Source organism: Homo sapiens, chromosome 7 (assembly GCF_000001405.40).
Source record: "Homo sapiens chromosome 7, GRCh38.p14 Primary Assembly".
Lineage (NCBI taxonomy): Eukaryota > Metazoa > Chordata > Mammalia > Primates > Hominidae > Homo > Homo sapiens.
In genome coordinates this window covers 90,286,849-90,310,003 of record NC_000007.14, presented here as the reverse complement: position 1 = coordinate 90,310,003, position 23,155 = coordinate 90,286,849, and the positions used below count along the sequence as shown (strand labels likewise).

At 36.1% G+C, this 23,155-nt stretch overlaps 1 protein-coding gene across 29 annotated transcripts in view; it reads right to left on the bottom strand.

Annotated features, from left to right (window-relative positions):
• The window catches only part of CFAP69 (cilia and flagella associated protein 69), a 78,550-nt gene that overhangs the window by 13,720 nt on the left and 41,675 nt on the right, over positions 1-23,155 (bottom strand). For 15 of the 29 annotated variants that reach the window (XR_927530.2, XR_927531.3, XM_011516577.3 and 12 more), the window contains 8 exons: positions 21,652-21,770; positions 12,174-12,255; positions 9,945-10,137; positions 5,898-6,035; positions 5,184-5,260; positions 2,906-3,103; positions 2,150-2,236; positions 637-741 (listed from right to left, as the gene is read on the bottom strand). Coding sequence is in view for 27 of the 29 variants with exons in the window: in XM_011516577.3 (XP_011514879.1) it covers positions 637-741; positions 2,150-2,236; positions 2,906-3,103; positions 5,184-5,260; positions 5,898-6,035; positions 9,945-10,137; positions 12,174-12,255; positions 21,652-21,770 (999 nt within the window). In the remaining 2 variants the exon portion in view is untranslated. Of the gene's footprint in view, positions 1-636; positions 742-2,149; positions 2,237-2,905; positions 3,104-3,918; positions 4,041-5,183; positions 5,261-5,897; positions 6,036-9,944; positions 10,138-12,173; positions 12,256-21,647; positions 21,771-22,254; positions 22,281-22,432; positions 22,503-23,155 lie in introns of those variants that run through there. The other 14 variants (XM_017012628.2, NM_001363438.1, XM_047420849.1 and 11 more) reach the window with 12 other exon arrangements.

Genomic DNA, 23,155 nt, shown 5'->3' with positions numbered 1-23,155 from the left:
ATTCATCCTTCAGCTTACTTTTGAAAAGACACAAATGTAATGAATAACTAGGAGGCAGTTATGGTATAATAGAAAGATAAGGGCATCGGAGCCAGGAAAAGTAGGTTTGAATTCTATTTCTATTGCTTATCAGCTTTGTAACTGGGGGCAAATTAAGTCTAGCAGAGGATACCAGGAACACTTGGGATCTACTCGCCAGGAAAAGGGGAAGCACTGCGTCTTTTCTGTTAAAGAGATATAAGGACAATTATAAGCTGACTAGTGTTTATAGCAGTTTCTTAGAAATCCTGGAGGGCTGGGCCTACTCTAAACCAGAACCGGGCAAAAGTGGATATACATTGGAGATAAATATGCCTTAATGATGTGAAATTTGAACAGCAAAAAGAAAAAATGTGAGATGAAAATCCCATTGACATAATATTTTGGGGGCCTAAGTTTTTTTTTTATTAATTTTTTTAACTTCTAATTTTTAAATTTAAAATTTTTTTTGAACAGTTTTATTGAGATATAATTCAATACCACACAATCCATCCATTTAATGGGTAAAATTCAATGGTTTTCAGTATATTTGCACAGTTGTTCAAACACTCTAAATTTAATGTCTATTAAGAAAATGTTATGGAGAAAGAATCTTACCGTTGTGTTAAGGCCTTTAATATGTGTTTGGTGAAATATTGCATTTTGTGGTCGTTTATGGTATCTGGAGGCTTCTATAGCTTTTTCTTGAAGGCTTTTTGCTTTCTGAGGATTTTTAAATTAGAAAGAAAATATTAATTGCTATTAAATCAGTAATGATGGTACTTACAATGAAAAACATATTTAATTGTGTCTGGCTTATGCTTTGGTTGTTTATTAGATAGCGCTGAAATCTGCATTTACTCATTTAGACTAAAAAGACAGTTATTAGTAAGTTAGATACTTTGCACATTGAAGAAGACTCCAGTCACCTAAAAGTCTTCCAGAGATTTCTGGAAGTAGTCCAAGAAATCCATATATGACCAAGGAGTCAAGCAGATCCTGAAGAAATCAGGTTCAATTTTTAGCACATAATTTAATAAGCTATTAAATTTATATCAGGTGATGCATATTGCAAAACATATTGCATAAATTACCAACTGATTAAGTACACTTAAATGTTTTAAGCATTCAGAATAATATAAATTATGTAATTCATTGCAGTTATATTTAAGCTATTTGAAGTTATTTTCAAGGTATTTGCTACACTAAACAAGTGAAATGTGAAGTAATAAATGACCTGCAGGAAAGGAGCTGATTTTCATTAACTAGTGCTAAAAATACAGGCAGTTAGGAAGACATTTTATAAGTAGAATTGGGAAGAACTTTCAGTGAACAGGGAGATAACTTGGTACCTTGAGTGAGCTTGTTCTTAAATTTGGTTTTGCTATCTTAATATGGTTCCACCGTCTTGTGGACTAACTTAACATTTAGCAATTTTATATCTATAGGAAGTATTGAAACATTAGGTAAAGTCTATCCAAAGTATCAGAAATGAAGGAGAGATTTTTTAAAAAGTGTATCCAAGATATTAATGGAAAAGGGTGGGGAAAAGTAATGAAATTCTGGAAATCCATGGTGTTTCTCACATATTTCAAGTGAACGATTAGCACTATACATTTTTTAGATTAGTTTCTAGCTTACAGTTGAAGTAGCTTACCACATTTTTCTACAAAGGGATATTTATCCCCAGTTCACATTTAAGTTTAACATAATGCTTCTTTTGGTGATCACAGAGGGAAAAGCTCTTGGGGGACAGAGTAATACAAGATAGTTGCTCTTTGTGTCCTTTACTTTGCCTCTCACAGAAAAGAAATCAATGAATAAGCAGGTTCAGAATGGAAAGCAGAACACATTTTCCTGCTCATTCCTGGCTATCATCTTCTTCTTTATGTAGGTCAAGAACATCAGCCTTGTTTCTCCCTGATAAACCAAATGAAACTCAAAGCAGCATCTTCTGTAACTGTGAAATGCAGTTTCACTTATCACTCTAAATTGCATATGAGCATCTAATAGTGCTGGTATTGTACGGAAAGGTCACTAGGAAAAAATGAATGAATATTTGTTCCTGAAAAAGTCTGTCTGTAAGAGTTGGCTATTTGTTGTGGATACTATAATACATTAAAAATCCTACCTTTAACGTTTTAGCGTTTGATGTTCTAGCCAAGAAATCTTCCCATGATTTATTAGCCAGCTCTCTTTGCTTGTGCGTGGCCTGTATCTGAAATGAGAAAGATAATTAAGTTTCAGTTTCTTTTTTTTCTTTTTTTTTTTTGAGACAGAACCTCACTCTGTCACCCAGGCTGGAGTCCAGTGGCATGTCTCAAGTATCTCTCTGCCTTTTAAAAATTTAAGACTGTAGAAATAAAATTATAATGCAAAAAAACAGCATTGAATATAGTAACTCAATCTCAAACTCCATAGTTTCTTTTAAAACTGCACAGAGACACTGAAAATAACTCTAAGAGAAAACCACAAAATAACTCAAGGCTGAAACACCCACAAGTAAGAAAAATATATCTTATGGATAACTTCATCTGGGTTTATACATTGAAATTATTATCTTGTGCCTTAATGGTATCTGTGGCTTACTTTCTTATTGATATATAATAGTTGTACATATTTATGGCATACATGTGATATTTTGATATGTGCATACAATGTGTAATGATCAGGGTAATTGGGATATCCATCCCCTTAAACACTTATCATTTCTTTGTGTTAGGAGCATTCCAAGTCTTCTGGGTATTTTGAAATGTACAATAAATTATTGTTACTATAGTTGTCCTACTGTGCTATTGAACAACAGAACTTATTCTATCTAACTGTATTTTTGTGCCCATTAACCAACCTATCTTCATTCTCCCTCCTCACTACCTATGTAGCTTACTTTTGCATATACTTTTTGTTCATTTTGCATGTCTTGGCATGCTTGGCTTTCAATTATATCACTTTGCAGAGAAGCAACCATCTTTCCAATATTTTCTGATGCTGTTGTAATAGCTTCCAAAGCTTTTTTATCTGTAGTGACTGGTCTTAATTTTTCTAATTTTATTTCTTCATATATTTCATTCCATATTTCTCCAATCTGTTATAACAAAGTTTAACAAAGTTAAATTAACCAAAAACAAATCATGCAATTGTACAATTATACAATTTTTTATATGGTTAGTCACTCCTGTTAACACTTAAACTTTTCCTAAATTACTTCCTGGGAATAAGTGCATTGGGAATGATTGAGGGTACCAGCTACATTTGAGTACTCAGTAGGAATTTATCAAATGTTTTTCAATGGTATGTTATTCATGGATAAGGCTCTCCTATGCCTAGTTCCCTGCCATCATCACCATCATCACTGCCCTCTAGTTTATAGTTACCTTGATTTCACAGCTGCAGAAACTGCTGATTTATTCTGATCTTTCTGAACTATCGTTACTTTCCTCCCTAAAGCCCTATATTGAAGGCTAGGTCAAGATGAACTTTTAGGAGAATGAACATGGGGATTACTAGGACCCTAGAACCCAGCCACCCTGAGAAAGGGGCCCTGCCCCTCACTTTCTAGCTAAGGCAAATTATAATGGAATCTCAAGCTTTTAACTCCATGGTTCCATCATGTCAGTGGCTCCATCTCATATTCTAGGCTGTCTAGAAGTTAACGTTCTTGAGTGTATTTAGAATTAGAGAAAAAAGAGCAGAGTTGTGCAGCAGAAGTGTGCTGGACCCATAAAATTAAAGAAAAAAATTATATATCTATGATAAGGAAAAAATTCATCTTTGGGCTGAATGGAGTGGGTGGATCACTTGAGCCTAGGAGTTTGAAGGCAGCCTGAGCAACACAGTGAGACCTTGTCTCTACCCCGCCCCGCCCCCCCCCAATAAAAAGCTGGGTATGGGGGTACACACTTGTAGTCCCAGCTACTTGGGAAGATGAGGCTGGAGGATCAAATGAGCCTGGGAGGTTGAGGCTGCAGTGAGCTGTGATCATGCAACTGCACTTTAGGCTAGGTGACAGGATGAGACTCTGCCTCAAAAAAAAAAAAAAAAAGAAGGAAAGAAAGAAAATAGAGGTTTACTCATTTACAACATCCAAATATACAGTACTAATATTAGTAGAAGGACAATGTTAACTTAAAAAGACTTTCTTGAGACTTCAAAAGTATTTACTGACAAATATAACTAGCAAGGTAAGTAACCTACTATCTTTTAATCAAGATTGGATCATAATATAAAGTAATGATAAAATAATACTTTAATAAGTATTAATAATTTATTTTAATAAATAAAAACTTATTTAATTTCAACTCCAAAGAGAAGAAACTGTATGGTCAGGCTGGTCTCGAACTCCTGACCTTGGGTGATCCACCCACCTCGGCCTCCCAAGGTGCTAGGATTGCAGGCATGAGAATACAAAAATTAAAAAATACAAAAATTAGCTGGGCGTGGTGGCGGGTGCCTGTCATCCCAGCTACTTGGGAGGCTGAGGCAGGAGAATCACTTGAACCTGGGAGGCAGAGGTTGCATTGAGCCAAGATCATGCCATTGTACTCCAGCCTGGGTGACAAGAGCAAAATCTCCATCTCATAAAAATAATTTTTTTTTTTTTTGCTAGGCTTCTGAACAGTTTTATATCAGTTTCTTTTTTTTTTTTTAGACGGAGTCTCGCTCTGTCGCCCAGGCTGGAGTGCAGTGGCGCAATCTTGGCTCACTGCAAGCTCCACCTTCCAGGTTCACATCATTCTCCTGCCTCAGCCTCCCGAGTAGCTGGGACTATAGGCGCCCGCCACCACATCCAGCTAATTTTTGTATTTTTAGTAGAGACAGGGTTTCACCATGTTAGCCAGGATGGTCTTGATCTCCTGACCTCGTTATCCACCTGCCTTGGCCTCCCAAAGTGCTGGGATTACAGGCGTGAGCCACCGTGCCCGGCTTATATCAGTTTTGTACATCTTCTTTCACAAACTAAGTTGGATGAAATCTTATCCCATGAAAAACACCCAATCATGGGATGGGTGTATGGTGTATTTCTTCAACAGCATCAGATGCAAAATGAAAAATAAAAACTATACAGTATGTAGATGATTGCTCACAACCATGAATAGATATTTTATTTTCCAGTTAATTTTTTGCTATCTAGATTTTAATAATCAGGTTATTAAAAAGATACTTACTTTAAAATCAAGATATCTATGTATGATACAAAGGGTGACAAAATCTTCAGCAGATAGGCCAGGTAAATTTTCAAAATCTAAAATAAAGTTTATAAAGACAGAATTACTTTAGCAGAGCAAGTGATTCTAAGAATCTATCTATCTATCTATCTATCTATCTATCTATCTATCTATCTACCTATCTAAAAACAAATGCAAAGTTACTTTTGATTTCATCTTGATTTATGAAAAAGTTAATTCTGTGAGTAGCTTGTGAGTAGGCTTCTTTCTATAACACATTTCTGCCAGGTCATCCAATATATAGGAATCATTTCTTTCTGTGTTGTAGTCAGACAATAATATCTTACTTCAGAAGCTGAAGAGTGTTTGATAAACTTTTTCCTTAATAGACAGCAAAGACTTAAAAAAAAAAACTCAAGTGACTCAGAATGTCAGTATTTTAAGCTTAATCATCTAAACTAACTGTCCTTAATCCTATCTGCACATTGGAATTGCCTGGGGAGCTTTAAAAAATACTATTGCCTGGATCCCACACACAGAGATTCTGATTTAATTGGTGAGGGGTGCAGTTTGGGAATTGGGGTAACAATGGAAAATGAATTTCTCTATATAAAGAGATTTTTGCTCATTATATTTGAAAAACTGTCTCCAAAGTAAAATCAGTGTGTATACTTAGCAAAACAGACTCTTGCAAATTTGAAGAGAACTTCTTACCTAGTTTGCCCAATATAGCATAAATTTTTGCTCTAATATTCTCAGAAACATCCATAACCGCAATAGATGGGCAGTTAGCAGGCAGTGGGATGATTTTTTGCTCTTCTTGAAAGCTAGTAAATAGAGGTTTTTTTGTATCTAATCATTGGATAGCATGAAAATAGAAAAGGGACAGATAAAAACCATAGTAAACAAATACTTAATTTTGAGATTTTAGTCTAGATAACATAAAATATATAAAAATATTGTAGCAAAAAAATAGTGCCTATTACACGGTTACACTTTTGAAATAATAATTAAGCAGCTATTTCTTCCCCACTCTGTGGCAAAACTTAGAGCCTTCATTTTTATTGTTTATGTAAAATATTAAAATTTCACAAAATTACTTTTTAAAAGTAAAACTTCTATGTAAATAATTTAAAAAATTTTGAAATCCAGAACTTGAGTAATGTCAGTTTAACAGTGATGTAACCTTGTTTACTTTTGGTTTCTATATATTATGCTATAAATATAAAAACTATTTTATGATGCTATAGGTCAAAACTCAGAAACAATAAAAATGGATTGAAGATACAAGTCATCAGAAGGGGAAGTATTTACATTTAAAAATAAACAATACTTAAGGAAACATATCTAAAAATAATAAGAGCCATCTATGACAAACCCACAGCCAGCATTATATGGAATGGAGAAAAGCTGGAAGCATTCCCTTTGTAAACTGGCACAAGACAGGCATGCGCTCTTTCACCACATAGTATTGGAAATCTTGGCCAGAGCAATCAAGCAAGAGAAAGAAAAAAAAAAAGCATCCAAACAGGAAGAGGGGAAGTCAAACTATCCCTGTTTGCAGATGACATGAGTCTGTATCTAGAAAACTCCATAGTCTCGGCCCAAAAGCTCCTTTAGCTGATAAACAACTTTAGCAAAGTTGCGGGACACGAAATCAATGTACAAAAGTGACTAGCATTCCTACACACCAACAACAGCCAAGCCAACAGCCAAGTCAGAAACACAATCCCATTCACAATTGCCATAAAAAGAATAAAATACCTAGGAATACAGCTAACCAGGGAGCCAAAAGACCTCTATGATGAGAATTAGAAAATACTGCTTAAAGAAATCAGAGATGACACAAACAAATGGAAAAACATCCCATGCTCAAGGATAGGAAGAATCAATATCATTAAAATGGTTATACTGCCCAAAGCAATTTACAGATTCAATAGTATTTCTATAAAGCTATCAACAACAATCTTCACATAACTAGAGAAAACTATTCAAAAAATCATATGGAACCAGAAAGAGCCCCAATAGCCAAGGAAATCCTAAACAAAGAGCAACACTACAGGCATCACGTTACCTAAGTTCAAACTAAACTACAAGACCACAGTAACCAAAACAGCATAGTACTGGTACAAAAACAGACACAGTTCAATATAACAGAATAGAGAGCCCAGAAATAAGGCTACACACCTACAACTACTTGATCTTCAACAAAGCTGACAGAAACAAGCAATGGGGAAATAACTCCCTATTTAATAAATGGTGCTGGGATAACTAGCCAGCCATATGCAGAAAATTGAAACTGGACCTCTTCCTTATACCATATACAAAAATCAACTCAAGTTGGATTAAAGACTTAAATGTAAAACCCAAAACTATAAGAACCCTGGAAGACAACCTAGGCAGTAGCAATCTGGACTTAGGAATGGGCAAAGATTTCATGACAAAGATGTCAAAAGGAATCACAATACAAGCAAAAATTGACAAATGGGATCTAATTAAACTTAAGAACTTCTGCACAGTAAAAGAAACTATCAACAGGATGAAAAGCCAACCAACAGAATGGGAGAAAATTTGTGCAAACTATGCATCTGACAGAGGTCTAATATCCAGCATCTATAATGAACTTAAACAAATTTATAAGAAAAAACACAACCCCATTCAAAAGTGGGCAAAGGACATGAACAGACACTTTTCAAAAGAAGTCATACATGCAGCCAACAAGCATATGAAAAAAGCTCAATATCACTGATTATTAGAAAAATTCAAATTCAAATCACAATGAAATAGTATCTCACATCAGTCAGAATGGCTGTTATTAAAAAGTCAAAAAATAACATACCGGCAAGGTTGTGGAGAAAAGGGGATGCTTATACACTGTTGCTGGGAGTGTAAATTAGTTCAACCATTGTGGAAAGCAGTGTGGCAATTCCTCAAAGAGCTAAAAACAGAACTACTATTCGACCCAGCAATCCTGTGACTGAGTATATGCTCAGAGGAATATAAACCATTCTATCATAAAGACACACACATGAATGTTCACTGCAGCACTATTCACAATAGCAAAGACATGGAATCAACCTAAATGCCCATCATGACAGACTGGATAAAGAAAATGTGGTCCATATACACCATGGAATGCTATGCAGCCATAAAAATAGTGAGATCATGTATTTTGAGGGAACATGGATGGAGGTGGAGGCCATTATCCTTAGCAAACTAACACAGGAACAGAAAACCAAACACTGCATGTCTTCACTTATAAGTGGGATCTAAATGATGAGAATTCATGGACACATGGAGGAGAACAACACACACTGAGGCCTATTAGATGGTAGAGAGTAGGAGGAGGGAGAGGGTCAGAAAAAATAACTATTGGGTACTAGGCTTAGTACCTGGGTGACAAAATAATCTGTACAACAAACCCTTGTGACATGAGTTTACCCATATAACAAACCTGTATGTGTACCCCTGAACCTAAAATAAAATTTAAAAAAAAAAGTGAACCGTTTAGATGAAACCATAAGAATCTTAAAAGGCTTAGAATATGTAGGCGGGGTGCAGTGGCTCATGTCTGTAATCCCAGCACTTTGGCAAGTGGAGTTGGGCAGATCCCCTGAGGTCAGGAGTTCAAGACCAGCCTAGCCAACATGGTGAAACCCTGTCTCTAATTAAAAAAATACAAAAATTAGCTGGGTATGGTGGCACGTGCCTGTAGACCCAGCTACTCAGGAGGCTGAGGCAGAAGAATCATTTGAACCTGGGAGGCGGAGGTTGCAGTGAGCCGAGTTCATGTCACTGCACTCCAGCCTGGGCGAAAGAGCGAGACTCTGTCTCCAAAAAAAAAAGAAAAAAAGAAAATGTAATATATTGGCCAGGTGTGGTGGCTCATGCCTATAATCCCAACACTTGGCAGAGGCTGAGGTGAGTGGATCGCTTGAGCCCAGGAGCTTGAGACCAGCCTGGGCAACACGGTGAAACCTCATCTCTACAAAAAATACAAAAATTAGCTGGGTGTGGTAGTGCATGCCTGTAGTCCCAGCTACTTGGGAGGCTAAGGCAGGAAAATCGCTTGAGCCTGGGAGGCAGAGGTTTCAGTGAGCCAAGATTGCACCATCACACCCCAGTCTGGGTGACCTGAGTGAAACCCTGTCTCACAAAAAAAAAAGAAAAAAAAAAGAAAAAAATGTAATATAGCAGTATGGAATATGTAAATGAACTAAAAATTATGATACTGTAAGTCTCATTAATTTAGAATCTAGTAATTAAAATTTTTGAACATTTGGACTATTTTTATTTAGGAAACAATATCTTCTTTCATATAAAAAGTAAACTCTATAAACATTAATCAGATCATGTTGCCTAATGGATTTAGAAAAAGGAAAAATGAACAGAAATGTATAAAATACCAAAATATTATTTTGAAGCAATCTATTTACATCTCAATGAAATATTATTGAATCTATCTATAAAAGCAGAAAACCCAAAGAAGCATCTTTAGGAACTACTTTAATTTTTTTTTTAGTTAAAAGAATATAATTAAATACCATTTCTTAAAAATATTCTCTAAAAATATGAACCTACTACTAATTTACTTAGTTTTCTTCCAGTCACTTAGGATAGCAAATTTTTCAAACCCTTGTAAAAAAAAAAAAAAAACTTTAGACAAAGGGGTGAAAGGCCTGATGCTTTCTTAATACCATTTAAAGATCTTTTAAAATATATACATTAATTGCTTCTACTAACAATTATAAATATACTCACCAATGATCTTCCCATTTTTATCACGTTTTACTCCTAGTTCTTTTTCCTCCTTTCTCCACAATTTAATTAAAAGACTAGCAGCTGTCTGATCCTTCTTCCCTTGCCAAGCATTGACATGAGCTGCAGTTTTGGGATTATCACAAAATTCAACCATTATTCCAAGTATTAGATTACAGAATTTTTTTTGGTTCAACTTTAGCAAGGAAACAGAAAAGGAAAAAAGTTGCAATAAATATTAAGAATTATTGTCTTCAAAAAAAAAAGAGAGAAACACTTCTATTATCATTAAGTTTCTTCTAAACTCAGAGTCAGGAAAATCTCCTGTTAAAATGGACACCCATTGTAATGACTATATTTTCAAACATTAGAAATTTAAAAGGATAAAAAGTAAAAGATTTAATATAATTCTGAAGTCATTATAAACATATATCATGACCAAAATGTGACTGATGTGGCTGAGTTGGAAAAAGATTTGCACAAATAAGTGAAGATGTTCATTTTAAGTGGCGAAGCTCGATAGTGTTATACAGAGTTCACTGTAATTACAGGATCTTTCCAATTTATATGCTTTATTAAGGCTTGTAAAGATTCATACTAACTGTAATCTCTTTGTTATTAAGAGAGTAACTGATGGTAACTGCAAATGACAATCACATATGAAAATAAAACAAGATGTAATTTGGTTTTGTGGCAATCATCATCCATAAAAGAGTATTTAAGGATTCAAAAAAATTCTCCTATTATAAAGCATATTTCCTTTATTTTGCTACAAGTAGTTTTCAGTACACCAAAATTTAGGTATAGAAAATTCCATCCAGAGCAATGGCCTCCATAATCTAATTCTTCTATGTGAAATACTTTTTGTTGATTAACTTTTACAGTATACTGTTATTTGAATATAGCAAAGGAAATATGTAAGCTTTTGTTTTAATTGCGAACATCATCAGTTTCCTTTTATAAAATGAAAGGATAATAATATTACCTGCAAAGGGTTATTATGAGTTATATGAGACTCCCTGGTACATAGTCAGCTCTCATTAACATTTAACCATTATTAGCAGTTATCATTACATACTTTATATTTCAGCAGAGTTGTATTAAGCAAAACACTCAAGGAAATGAGTTTTTTTATTTCTCTACTTCAGGAGACAGGCAAATGTGAAAGATTGAAATTGATATAAAATCTTCATTAAATAATATCTGTAATTTGCAATTAATTTGGTTGAATCAGCATTAAATATATTCTAGCAATAATATTCATAATAACAGTAAATACAGGAATCATGTTAGGCACTATATTTAATCTATAATATATATGTATGCATGCACACTTAGATGCACACACAGACATACAATCACTCATTTAATCCTTCCAACAATACAATAAGATATATAATGTTGTTATCTCTGTTTTACAGGTAAAGAAATCGAAAAGAGAGAAATGAACTAACTTTCAGGGAGGTTAAGGGGCACAAATAATTTTAGCACTTTTGCTAAATCAAAGTAGGTTTGTTATTCTGTTAATAAAATCAAGAATAGTGGCAATCATAGAATCACGGACAGGGAGCGGGCTAGAACTCTGTGTGAGAATCTCTCTCAAAATTTTATTGAAACAAAATTGTACGTTTCCTCCCATATCATCCTGACTATGGATTCCAGTTAGAATTGAGGCTAGTAAGGGGCTATATTCTTCACAGCTGCTAGATGGCACTGTCTCTATTGGAAGGCCTAGCTTGCTCACATCTGCTCATTCTGCAAAACAATGGTCCATGAGTCACTAGACTTCTTCAGGTTACCTCCAAATAATACATAGTTCTTTAAAAATGCTTATCTTTGCTCCTTGTCTAACGTGGCCCTTATCTTTTAATATCAGGGGAAGAAACTAGAAGTTATTAATAAATGACTATGGGTTTTCATATGGTCAAGCTCTTCACAAACTGTTTCTTAACAGGTTGATGGAGTACAAAGAAAAACAAATTCTTTGTTCCCGTGTATTTGAAAACACTGAAAAAACACTGGTAAAATGACTTTCCAACCAGAGGAATTTTCAGAGCCTTTAAAACACTGTGTATTATGAATTTCTAGGAGCAATTTTGTTTAAGACCGTACCTTTGAACATGATTTGGGGCACATTTATTCATAGACTTGTGCTCTGTGGCATTCAGTTTGGAAACGGCCTTTAATAGACATATTTGTCTTTTGTCTTATGATTGTTATAGCCATACTTACTGCTAACAAATCCAAAAGGAGAAAAATGCCTTCCTTTTCAAGAAAATAATCCTCTGAGGGATAACATCCCAAAATACAGCACCTTAAATTAAAAGAAAGTTATTCATTTGACAAACATTTATTGTTAAACTGAATTTGTACAGCTTTATCTTTATCAAAGCATTTTCAAAGAATATGTTTTCTTCATTTTCTTAAATCAAGTAGCTAATGTTTTTACCTAAAAAAATAGAACTTTGAAGAAACTTTACCAGCGTTGTTCAGTTTCAACGTTTTTAAAAATCAATATCCATTCTTTTCCATAACTGCCTATTTCTTTCCTACAAATAAAACATTCTCCTTTGCTTTCATGATATTAATTATTCTTAGTGATCATCTCTGGCTGGTCTCATAACTTTTTTTGCAAGATATATCCATTTATTGTTGCTGTAAACCAAAAATAAAATTCTAAGCCCCCCAACCAACTGAACGAACCCTTCTCTCAGCCAAGGCATTCCAAAGTAAACTTGAAAAACTAGTTCAGGCCATGATGGGAAGGAGGGGTTGGACATGCCTCATTATAACTTCCTCCCTTTGGAATTCAGGCACAACTGACCAGTGAGTATTAACGTTAAAACAGAGATCTTAAGAATGAAAAAACAGACTCTTCACAGCAATGAGATACCAAATTCCAACTTGACTCTGGTATAGCATCACATGACAGTAGGCTCTGAAAGAAATCAAAGTATTTTACCCCAAAATATATTCCTTTGACATATTTTTAAATGGTCCTGCAAAGCTGTCTCTTCTAGGGAAAATCTACATTCTGTAGCGAATCCCCTCCCCTGTCCAAGTATTTTCCAGATCCAGGAGAGATTTAACTAAGTCCGGCACCTTTTAAGGTCTGATAAGAGACATTTACCAACTATTCCACATAATAAGAAACTTGGTCTCAACAATCCCTTATTTTAACTCAGATACTCCTTTCTATTGATCCCCAGTTTTTAGATAATAACTTACCCATTTCAACAGATAGCAATCAGGAAATTTCTGAATCCACCTCTGACCTGTAAACTCCTGCTTTGAGTTGCCTTTCCTTTCCGAATCAAACCAATGCACACCTTATGTGTACTGACTGATGTCTTATATCTCCACAAAACGTATAAAACCAAGCTGTAGCCCAACCACCTCGGGCACATTTTCTCAGGACCTCTTAAAACTGTGCCTCAGGCTGGGTGTGGTGGTCAGCCTGTAATACCAGCACTTTGGGAGGCTGAGGGGGGTGGATCACCTGAGGTCAGGAGTTCGAGACCAGCCTGGTCAACATGGCAAAACGAGGTCTCTACTAAAAATACAAGAATCAGCCGGGCATGGTGGTGGGCGCCTGTAATCCCAGTTATTCAGGAGCCTGAGGCAGGAGAATAGCTTGAACCCAGGAGGAGGAGGTTGCAGTGAGCTGAGATCACGCCACTGCACCCCGGGCTGGGTGACAGAATGAGACCCCGTCTAAACAACAACAACAACAACAATAACAACAAAAAACCGTGCCTCAGGCCTTGGTCAATTATATTGGGCTCAGAATGAAACTCTGTAAAATATTTACAGGCCTTGTCGACATTGCTGTTTCAAGATGTTGGTGCACTTTAAACATTGGATAATTATTGATTATATCTCATCTTTGCAGTTGAGATTATTTTGTTAGAGGTGTTTGAATGAGAGCAACTCCATCTTGAATAGGGGCTGGGTGAAATAAGGCTGAGACCTACTGGGCTGCATTTCCAGAAGGTTAAGGCGCTCGAAGTCAACGGATGAGACAGGAGTTCAGCACAGATACAGGTTATTAAGGCTTTGCGGATAAAACAGGTTGCAGTAAAGAAGGCGGCTAAAACCCACCAAAACCAAGATGCTGACAAAAGTGACCTCCGGTCATCCTCACTGCTACACTCCCACCAGCACAATGACAGTTTACAAATGCCATGGCAACATGAGGACGTTACCCTATATGGCCTATAAAGGGGAGGCATAAATAATCCACTCCATGTTTGGCATATCATCAAGAAATAACCATACAAACGGGCAACCAGCAGTCCTTAGGGCTGCTCTGATTATGGAGTAGCCATTCTTTTATTCTTTTACTTTCCTAATAAATTGCTTTCACTTTACTCTGTGGACTCACCCTGAATTATTTTCTGCGCCTGATCCAAGAACCTTCCCTTGGGGTCTGGATTGGGACCCCTTTCCTGTAACATCCTTCTGGCAACCATGGAAGGGACAATAGTGAGAAAACCCCCGACTCAAAGGCTAATATTGGGTAAGTGTTGGGGTCTGGTAACATCTTTCTGGCAAGCCCCGAAGGGACGATACTGAAGAAAGCCCTCAGCCCCAAACCAAAGGAAAGAGACGACAGCACTGGTTGGCCGACCTTGGGTGAGTGGTTGGGTACTCGGCTGAAGGATGGCATTGGGTTAGAGGTCAACTTAGGGGAGTTAGGGTCTCTCCTTAAGTCAAAGTGGGTTAAAAGCCCCTCTTATTAAAAAGCAAGGAAACTTGACCGACCCTGGATTTGAAGGCAAATTTAGGAGGGTTAGAATCCCTTCTAAGATTTAGGAAGTTAGAGGCCCCTCTCAGTAAAGTCCCTTTTGGCTAAGAATGGGTTTGGCACTATGGGATGTTAATTGCTATTCTCTTTGGAATAATCTGCCTTGCACTTTTTGCTTATGGTTATGGGTGAGAGGATTAGGCGCATGTAGGATTGTGGGACAGAGGAAGCTTTTTCCTCCCTAAAAGGGGAAACTTGAGAGCAAATGGGAATGCTGGAAAAGATCCCGTCTCGACTGAAAAGCAACTGGCTGAACTTTTGATTCAGTGTTGGCACCAATGGGCAGGTCTTTCTCTGGCCTCCCTGAGCACCTCACCTTCCCCACACTGCCAAAAGCAATGCTCCCTTCCCTTTTTCCCTTCCCTTCCCCTCTGTGCAAACCAGTTGAATGAATGGTAAAAATCACTGTCTCCTCTGTAAAGTTTTGATTAATGGGAGAAATGATTTGAAAGCCTAATCTTAACCTGTAGCCAATCTGGTGTACTTTGTCTTTCTGTATTGTTCTGTCATAAAGAGGGGTACCTTAGGAGAGAACATAGGGTTAGGACACCTGTAAGCCTGCTTTCAAGATGGCCCAGCAAACTGGTCAGTTACAAACTTTGCTGCAAGTCCCCCAAAAAACTAAAACTGGACGAGGTTTCCCTCGTCTTGTATGTCCTTGGGAGCTTGACCTTGTAACCTTGTGGCCATGCTTTCTCTTTTCACAATGGCGGCCCCGGTCCAGGGTTCAATTCCTGGCTTAGGGAAGGAGTCCTTCATCTTCTGCGTGTCTCCATATTTAAATGTATTATGTGTGTGATGTTTATATATGAAAGAGCTCTAATTAGTTTATTAATAAGAAGAACTTAAATCAAATATTTTTTCAGAAAAGTAAAAAGTAGAATGATGTTCAGTTCATGTGACTTTAGTAATCTTAGGGAAATCAAGACAGTTTTAATAAAGATTATTGGTAAAACAAAAATTCTTCAAAAATGTAACATTTGGTGTAAATTATGCAGATCAGGTATCAGGTTTTCCAAATACTTTACGGTCATAAATGGCTTCTTTGACTTTTGAAAATTGTTCAATTTATTTAGGAGCATTAGATTGTAGATAGGGCTGGGGACATGTGAAATTAGCCATGCCCCCTAGCTATGCAAAGAAGGTTGTAAAGAAAACAGATGTTATATAAAAAACAATCTTGTATGGTAGATTCTTGTCCTAAAGTAAAACAACTGGTTGCTTAAAAAGAGGGATGTTTAGGAAAAGTCAGAAAGTCTAAGCATGTCATAGTCTATGTAAGTCGTGAAAGGATTAGTGAAAGGGAGTTTGTGCAAGAAATGTTGTACAATTTGAAGGTCGTTAGGCCCCCTTAATGCTTCATAAAATGCCACTATGACTCTTACTGTAACTTGCCTGCTTTATGGCTAGGTAAGGCCTGGGACACATGGAATAAGATGCTGGAAAGAGTCAGACCTTATCTGTACTTCTGTCTGGGTCCTAGGCTCCATGCCTAGTACATAATTAGAATGCTGAACTTACCAAGCTTTTTGCCAAAAGCAAAAGTTGCCAAGAGTTAACAGCGTAACAAGTATTTGAGACTACTAAAGAAACAGTTTTATATGTAAGGTGTATAAAGAAAGTGAAATGTGTTTTTGGCAAAAGATTATAAGAAGTCATGGGAATGTGGATTTTTTTTTCCTACATTAAAGGGTATTTTACAATTAGATAAGATAAAGCTGAAGGTTTAAGCAAGTTGGGGCAGATTTGTGAAAAAATTGTAAAAGAAATTCTGTGTGTGGCCATTGGCTAAAATTAAAGGGGTATTATTCAGTTTTTCTGTAAACTGAACATTGGCATAAATGACAACAGGTTTTTCTTGGAGCAAAATCCTGTTTATGATCTGCTCTTTAACAGAAATTGTAAAGGGTTATAAAAGGTTTATGAGAATCTTACCTTATGGTCAAACATTAAAATTGGGTAGATATGTCTATAAGGTTTTATTAAGAATTGAGTGTAAAATTAATAGTACACTAATGTAAAGGTAAAATTTGGCTTATTTGGTATAAACATCATACAGGAAGCATTGTCAAATGTGAAACAGTATTTAGCTTTCTTTGGGCTATATTTGCATAAATGTGTTATTGGTATGTGTTCCAAAATGATGGGAAACGCCTACAATTCTCATATGACTTAGTATAGGTCACTAATAGTTATAATTGCTACATAAAATCGTTGTATGCCACTGAGATAACTAAATTGCTTTGTCAATCATGTTTTTGACTGTGCGATGTTTTGTCATCCACAAACAATTGTTTTGTTTTGATCCTCTTCAAAAGGTCGTTTATAGTCAGCTATAGAACTCTAACAGGTATTCTTAAATGCAGGTTTCTGATAACTTTGGAGATTGTGATCTCTGAATAGAGGAAAAAACCTTTCAGAACTCTCATAGAGAGCTGAAATGTTCATGAATATCAAACAGAAATTAATTTTGTGGACTAAACTAACAGAAGTCTAAAATCATCTTTTTTAACTTGTTGCTTAAAATGTTGCTGATCCTTTTTTCCGCCCAGAGTCAAGACAACTCATCTTTGGAGCTATTTACAGCTTTTAACAATTGGGTAAAGTATGCTCGTGTGAACAAAATTTGGAGCATATTTGTTTTTTCTACCCAATTTCTCCAGAATTTGACAACTATTCGTGAGTGTTCTTAATTTATGGCAATATAGGTATTTGCAACAAGAAGTATAATAAGAATCTGTTTTCTTTTGCAACAGGACACAATTGGAGAAACTGATTATTTTACTAAGGCTTTGACTGGAATGGTGTGCTTTGAGGAATCAGACTTGATGTGTAAAGCCAATAAAAGTCCTTTGGGAAAACTTGATACTTTGTCTACACAGTCTCTGTATAGGGTTCCTGGCCTGTGGTAAGTAAAGAATGTCACTTTCTGACAGGCCCAGGAGCCCCAAGTTATCTTGGGACCTCAAGAGAAGAGAAATTTACCAAACTCTTAGGTATGTGAGGGTACAAACCCATGGCTGGGCTTGGCTTTAAAAAAGTCTTATCTGAGATTCCTTATGGAACAGAGTTCCATCAAAGCCAATTCAAATAGCCCATATGGCAAATAATTATTCTTGCTGCACCTTATACAAATAATCAGGCCAAGTATAATAAAGCAAATTGGCCTTATTATAATTTGTCTTTAGGATAAATGGGAAACTGGAGAGAGAAATATGTTTCAAGAACTATGGTACACCTGTTGTTAGATTCTAGTCTCATCAGCTGTTTTCAAGTTTGTTTCTGCAATTTAGGCTAACGCTGCTCATTCCTGGGAACCAACCAGTGATCTCTGACTGCTGCTCAGAAGAAACAAGAGGGCTAGGTAATGTGAAAACCAGAATTGATATTCTATTCAATTTTATCAATATTAATCAATAATTAATTTTCAATTGTTACTCTTTCAGATATCACCTTCTGTCAGAACTCAAGAGTTATGAATGACCCTCAACATACCAGTGCTTTCTGACTGAGCTCCCCTGTACCCTGAACACAAGAGACCCTAATAGATAGGCAGGAATATCATCACCCCTCTTCAGCCTGAAGATGTTACAGAAGACGGATCTTAATCCCTCTGCAACCCTAAGGATTAAGGCTTCTCTTATAAAAGGGATGGGGAAAATGTCAGATGCATTTGAACCAGAGCAACTCCATCTTGAATAGGGCCTGGGTAAAATGAAGCTGAGACCTACTGTGCTGCATTCCCAGATGGTCACGGCATTCTAAGTCACAGGATGAGATAGGAGGTCGCAAAAGATACAGGTCATGAAGACCTTGGGGATAAAACAGGTTGCAGTGAATAAGCCAGGTAAAACTCATCAAAACCAATATGCTGACACAAATAACCTCTGCTTGTCCTCACTGCTACACTCCCACCAGTGCAACGACAGTTTACAAATGCCATGGCAACATCAGGAAGTTAACTTATATGTTCTATAAAGGGGAGGCATAAATAATCCACTCCTTGTTTGGCATATCATCAAGAAATAACCATACAAATGGGAAACCAGCAGCCCTCAGGGCTGCTCTGATTATGGAGTAGCCATTCTTTTATCCTTTACTTTCCTAATTAACTTGCTTTCACTTTATCCTTTGGACTCATCCTGAATTCTTTCCTGTGTGTGATCCAAGAACCCTCTCTTTCGGTCTGGATCAGGAACCCTTTCCTATAAGAATTTGCTAAAGTGCCTACTTTGGTTTGTGCAGCTCACATGGAATCAAGGTTTAAAGCTGCTGCCGGGGCTACTTGCACTCTTCTTCCTGATAGGGAATGTGGACTGAACAAGCTATCACTGGTGGTTGCAACAGATACTATTCTCAGTTCCTCCCAGAAATTGCAAGCCTGCTGTGGTCACTTTCCTGTGTCCCCTTTCTAAACATAGCTCCCCTTAAAAAAGAAAAGAAAAGAAAAGAAAAGAAAAGAAAAGAAAAGAAAAGAAAAGAAAAGAAAAGAAAAGAAAAGAAAAGAAAAGACATTGTTTCTACTGCCTGTTTCAAAAGACATTGTTTCTACTGCCTGTTTCATCATAGTGCATAGAAAGTAGGAGTAGGGTAGAGGCTGGTATATGAAATGCCATCAGCTTTGCTCCTCCCATTCAGGTGGTCCCAGGTTTTACCCCTGGGGTGGCCAGAGATTTGGGCAAACATTATTCTGGGTGTGTCTGTGAAGGTGTTTCTGGATGTAATTAACATTTTAATCAGTAAACTGAATAAAGTAGCCTGCCCTTACTAATGTGGGTGGGCCTTATGCAAGCAACTGAAGATCTAAACAGAATGCAAAGGCTGAGTAAGAGGGAACTCCTCTGCCTGACTGCTGAGCTGGGACTCAGGTTTTCAGACTCAAATGGAAATATTTGCTCTTCTTGGGCTTCAAGCATCCAGCTTTCAGATTGGCACTCAGAACACTGGGTTTTCTGGTCCTTAGGCCTTCAGTCTCAGACTGGAACTACACCATCGGTACTCCTGGGTATTCCACTTGCTGACGGTAGTTCTTGGGACTTTTCAGCCTTTATAATTGTGTGAGCCAATTCCTTATGATAAATCTCAATCTCTCTTTCTCTATGTTTTTTTCTTACTGGTTCTGTCTCTCTAGGGAATCTTGACTAATATAATATCCAAATGCAAGGGGTCAGCAAAAGCTAAGACAATCTTAATGGGGAAGGAAAACGTAGAAAGACTTACTCTACCAGATGTCTAGACTTATCAAGACCTAATTATTAAAATAGCACATTACAGAAGGATAGACAAAAGACCAGTAGAACAGCACAGAAAGCCTAGAAATAGATCCAAATATATACGGACATTTGATTTGTACAAAGAAGGTACTGCAAAGCAGTGGGTAAAGGATGGTTTATCCAAAAACAGCATTGAATTACAACCATACAAAAAAAGTAAAACTTGTACCTCACCTTACACCATACATACAAATCAATTCCAGGTAGATTGTAGGTCTAAATGTAAAGGGCAAAACAATAAAGCTTCTAGAAGAAACATAGGCAGTGATCTTCATGACTATGGGGTAAGGAAAGACTGTTTAAACAGGGCACTAAAAGTACTGACCATAAAAAAAGACTGGTAAATTGGACCACACTGAAATTAAGACTATCTGTTCAACAAAAAGAGAGTGAAGAGAGTGAAAATGTAAGCCTCAGAGTGGCAGAATATATTTGACAAACATATAACAGAAAAAGGCTCATATCCAGGACATATAAAGAACTCTAAAAAACAATAGGTAATTCAGTAGAAAAATGAGCAAGAGACTTGAGTAGGGATTTCACACAAAAAAAGGCTATTTAAATGGCAAATGAACTCACTAGCAATCAGGAATATGAAAATTAAAACTACAAAGAGACACTGGCACAAGTCCATAAGGATGGCTGCAATGAAAGATACAACGCAGTGTGTTGGTAAGGGTGTGGAAAAAGGAGAAACCTCCACACTACTGGGAAAGGTGTAATTGATGTAAGTACTTTGGAAAATTTTTTAGTATTATCTCCTAAAGCTGAACAGACGTAAAAATGCCCAGATCTGGGCATTTTTACATCTAGGTGTATACTGGACAGAAATATCTATGATGTTTAATAAAATATATGCACACAAATATTTTTTCATAAGCCTAGGCTAATTTGTGTTTGAATCAGTTTTTAACAAAATGTTTAACAAGTAAAAACAATGTAATTTTTTTAAAAACAGAAGAAACTTATAGAATAAAAATATAAAGAAAGAAAATATTTTTGTATGGCTATACAATGTATTTGTATTTTAAGCTAAATGTTATTACAAAAGAGCCAAAAACATAAAGAAAATGAAAACATTTATAAAGTAAAAAAAAAATTACAGTAATCTAAGGTTAATTTATTGAGAAAAGAAAAATATTTTAAAAGTAAGTTTAGTGTAATCTAAATGTAGAGTGTTGATAAAGTCTACAGTAATGTATAATAAGGTCCTAGCCTTCACATTCATTCCCCATTCACTCACTGACTCACTCACAGCAACTGGTACTGCAAGCTCCATTTATAAGTGCCCTATACAAGCGTTAAGAATTTTTTTTTATCTTTTATTCTGTAGTCTTACTGTACCTTTTTTAATGTTTAGGTATGTTTAGATACACAATACTTACTATTGTGTTACAATTGCCTACAATCTTCAGTACAGTAATATGACATACAGTTTGTAGCCTTTAGGCTATACCATCTAGCCTAAGTGTGTAGTAGGCTATACCATCTATGTTTGTGTAACTACATCCTATAATGTTTGCATAAGATGAAATTGCCTAAGGAAACATTTCTCAGAAAGTATCCTCACTGTTGTAAAGTGATGCATGACTGCTGTGAGTCTACCTAATTTGATTATAGCAATACTCACCAAATGCTGTCCAATGTACTAAAAAGAAGTACATTATAGCCTAAGCCACTCTGTAACTTCCTGGGGTCTGTTTTCATCACATGAAGAACGATATCTACTCCTTCAGTTCCGAAAATTTCCTGTTTAAGATATTTGTTTTAAATTATTTCTTGAAATAAATAAATAATTCCTCCCTTTCCTACTTTATCGGTCCCCTAATATTGCTTTTTTACCAGAGAAATACAGCAACATTGTTAGAAAAATACTATTTTTACTGCAATTTAAAAAACCGTACTTACTTGTTCTCAGGAATTTAAAACAAATTATTATAAAATTAATCATTTTAAGAGGGGGCATCAATCAACATGCCAGCTTAATAATATCCCTTGATATTTTTTGTTTTATTCCCTTTCTCCTAAAAGAAGTCATAAAATTTGTACCTTGATTTTCTTCAATATTATAATCAATGCAGTCTAGCATTATGTCAGATCAATTCTTAGATAGTAAGAACTATCATGCAAGATTTTCTAATGACCCCGAGAGAAATAAGATATAAATGTAGTTAAAACATTTAATAATTTTTGTGAAGTTTTAACCACTTAATATTTTTCTCTTACTAATTACCTTTCTTATTGCCTTGCTGTTCAGTTCTGGTTCCCAGTAAGCAAGATTATGATTATTTTTCCAGAGGAGCCCAGGCACAGGGTGGTAGAATATGATGAGAAATTGCATCAAAGCTTGGAGCTAAACAGGCGTTCACTTAAAATCTATCTATTGAAACCATCATTTTTTTGTTTTTATCTTTCCAATTCCATCCCTTGCTATTTAACATTTAAATTATCAATCTCTGAGACTCAGAGTTCACTATGGAGCTAAAAAAGATAAAAGGGGATTAAGATCTCGTTCTAAATTTTGGCTTTGGGTTTGAACCCAATTCAAACCCCAAACAACATTTAAAATGGTACAGCCCACTCTGGAAAACTGTTTGGCAGTTTCTTATAAAGATACACCTACTTTATGATACATCAATTCCAATTGTAGATACTTACCCGAGAGAAATGAAAGCATTATACCCACTAGTAAAGACTAGTACAAGAATATTCACTGAAGCTTTATTCATTATAGCTGTAAATAAAAACAACCCAAGTGCCTATCTATCAATAGGGGAACAGATAAACACATTTTGGCATAGTCACACAATGGAATACTATTTAGCAATAAAAAGAAATGAATTATTGATACATGCAATGACATGGATATATTTCTATCTTTTTTTTTTTTTTTTTTTCAGATGGAGTCTCACTGCGTCACCTAGGCTGGAGTGCAGTGGTGAGATCTGGGCTCACTGTAACCTACCTCCTAGGTTCAAGCAATTCTCGTGCCTCAGCCTCCCGAGTAACTGAGATTACAGGCGCACACCACAACGCCTGGCTAATTTTTGTATTTTTAGTAGATATGAGGTTTCACCATGTTGGCCAGGCTGGTCTCAAACTCCTGACCTCAGGCAATCCACCTGCCTCAGCCT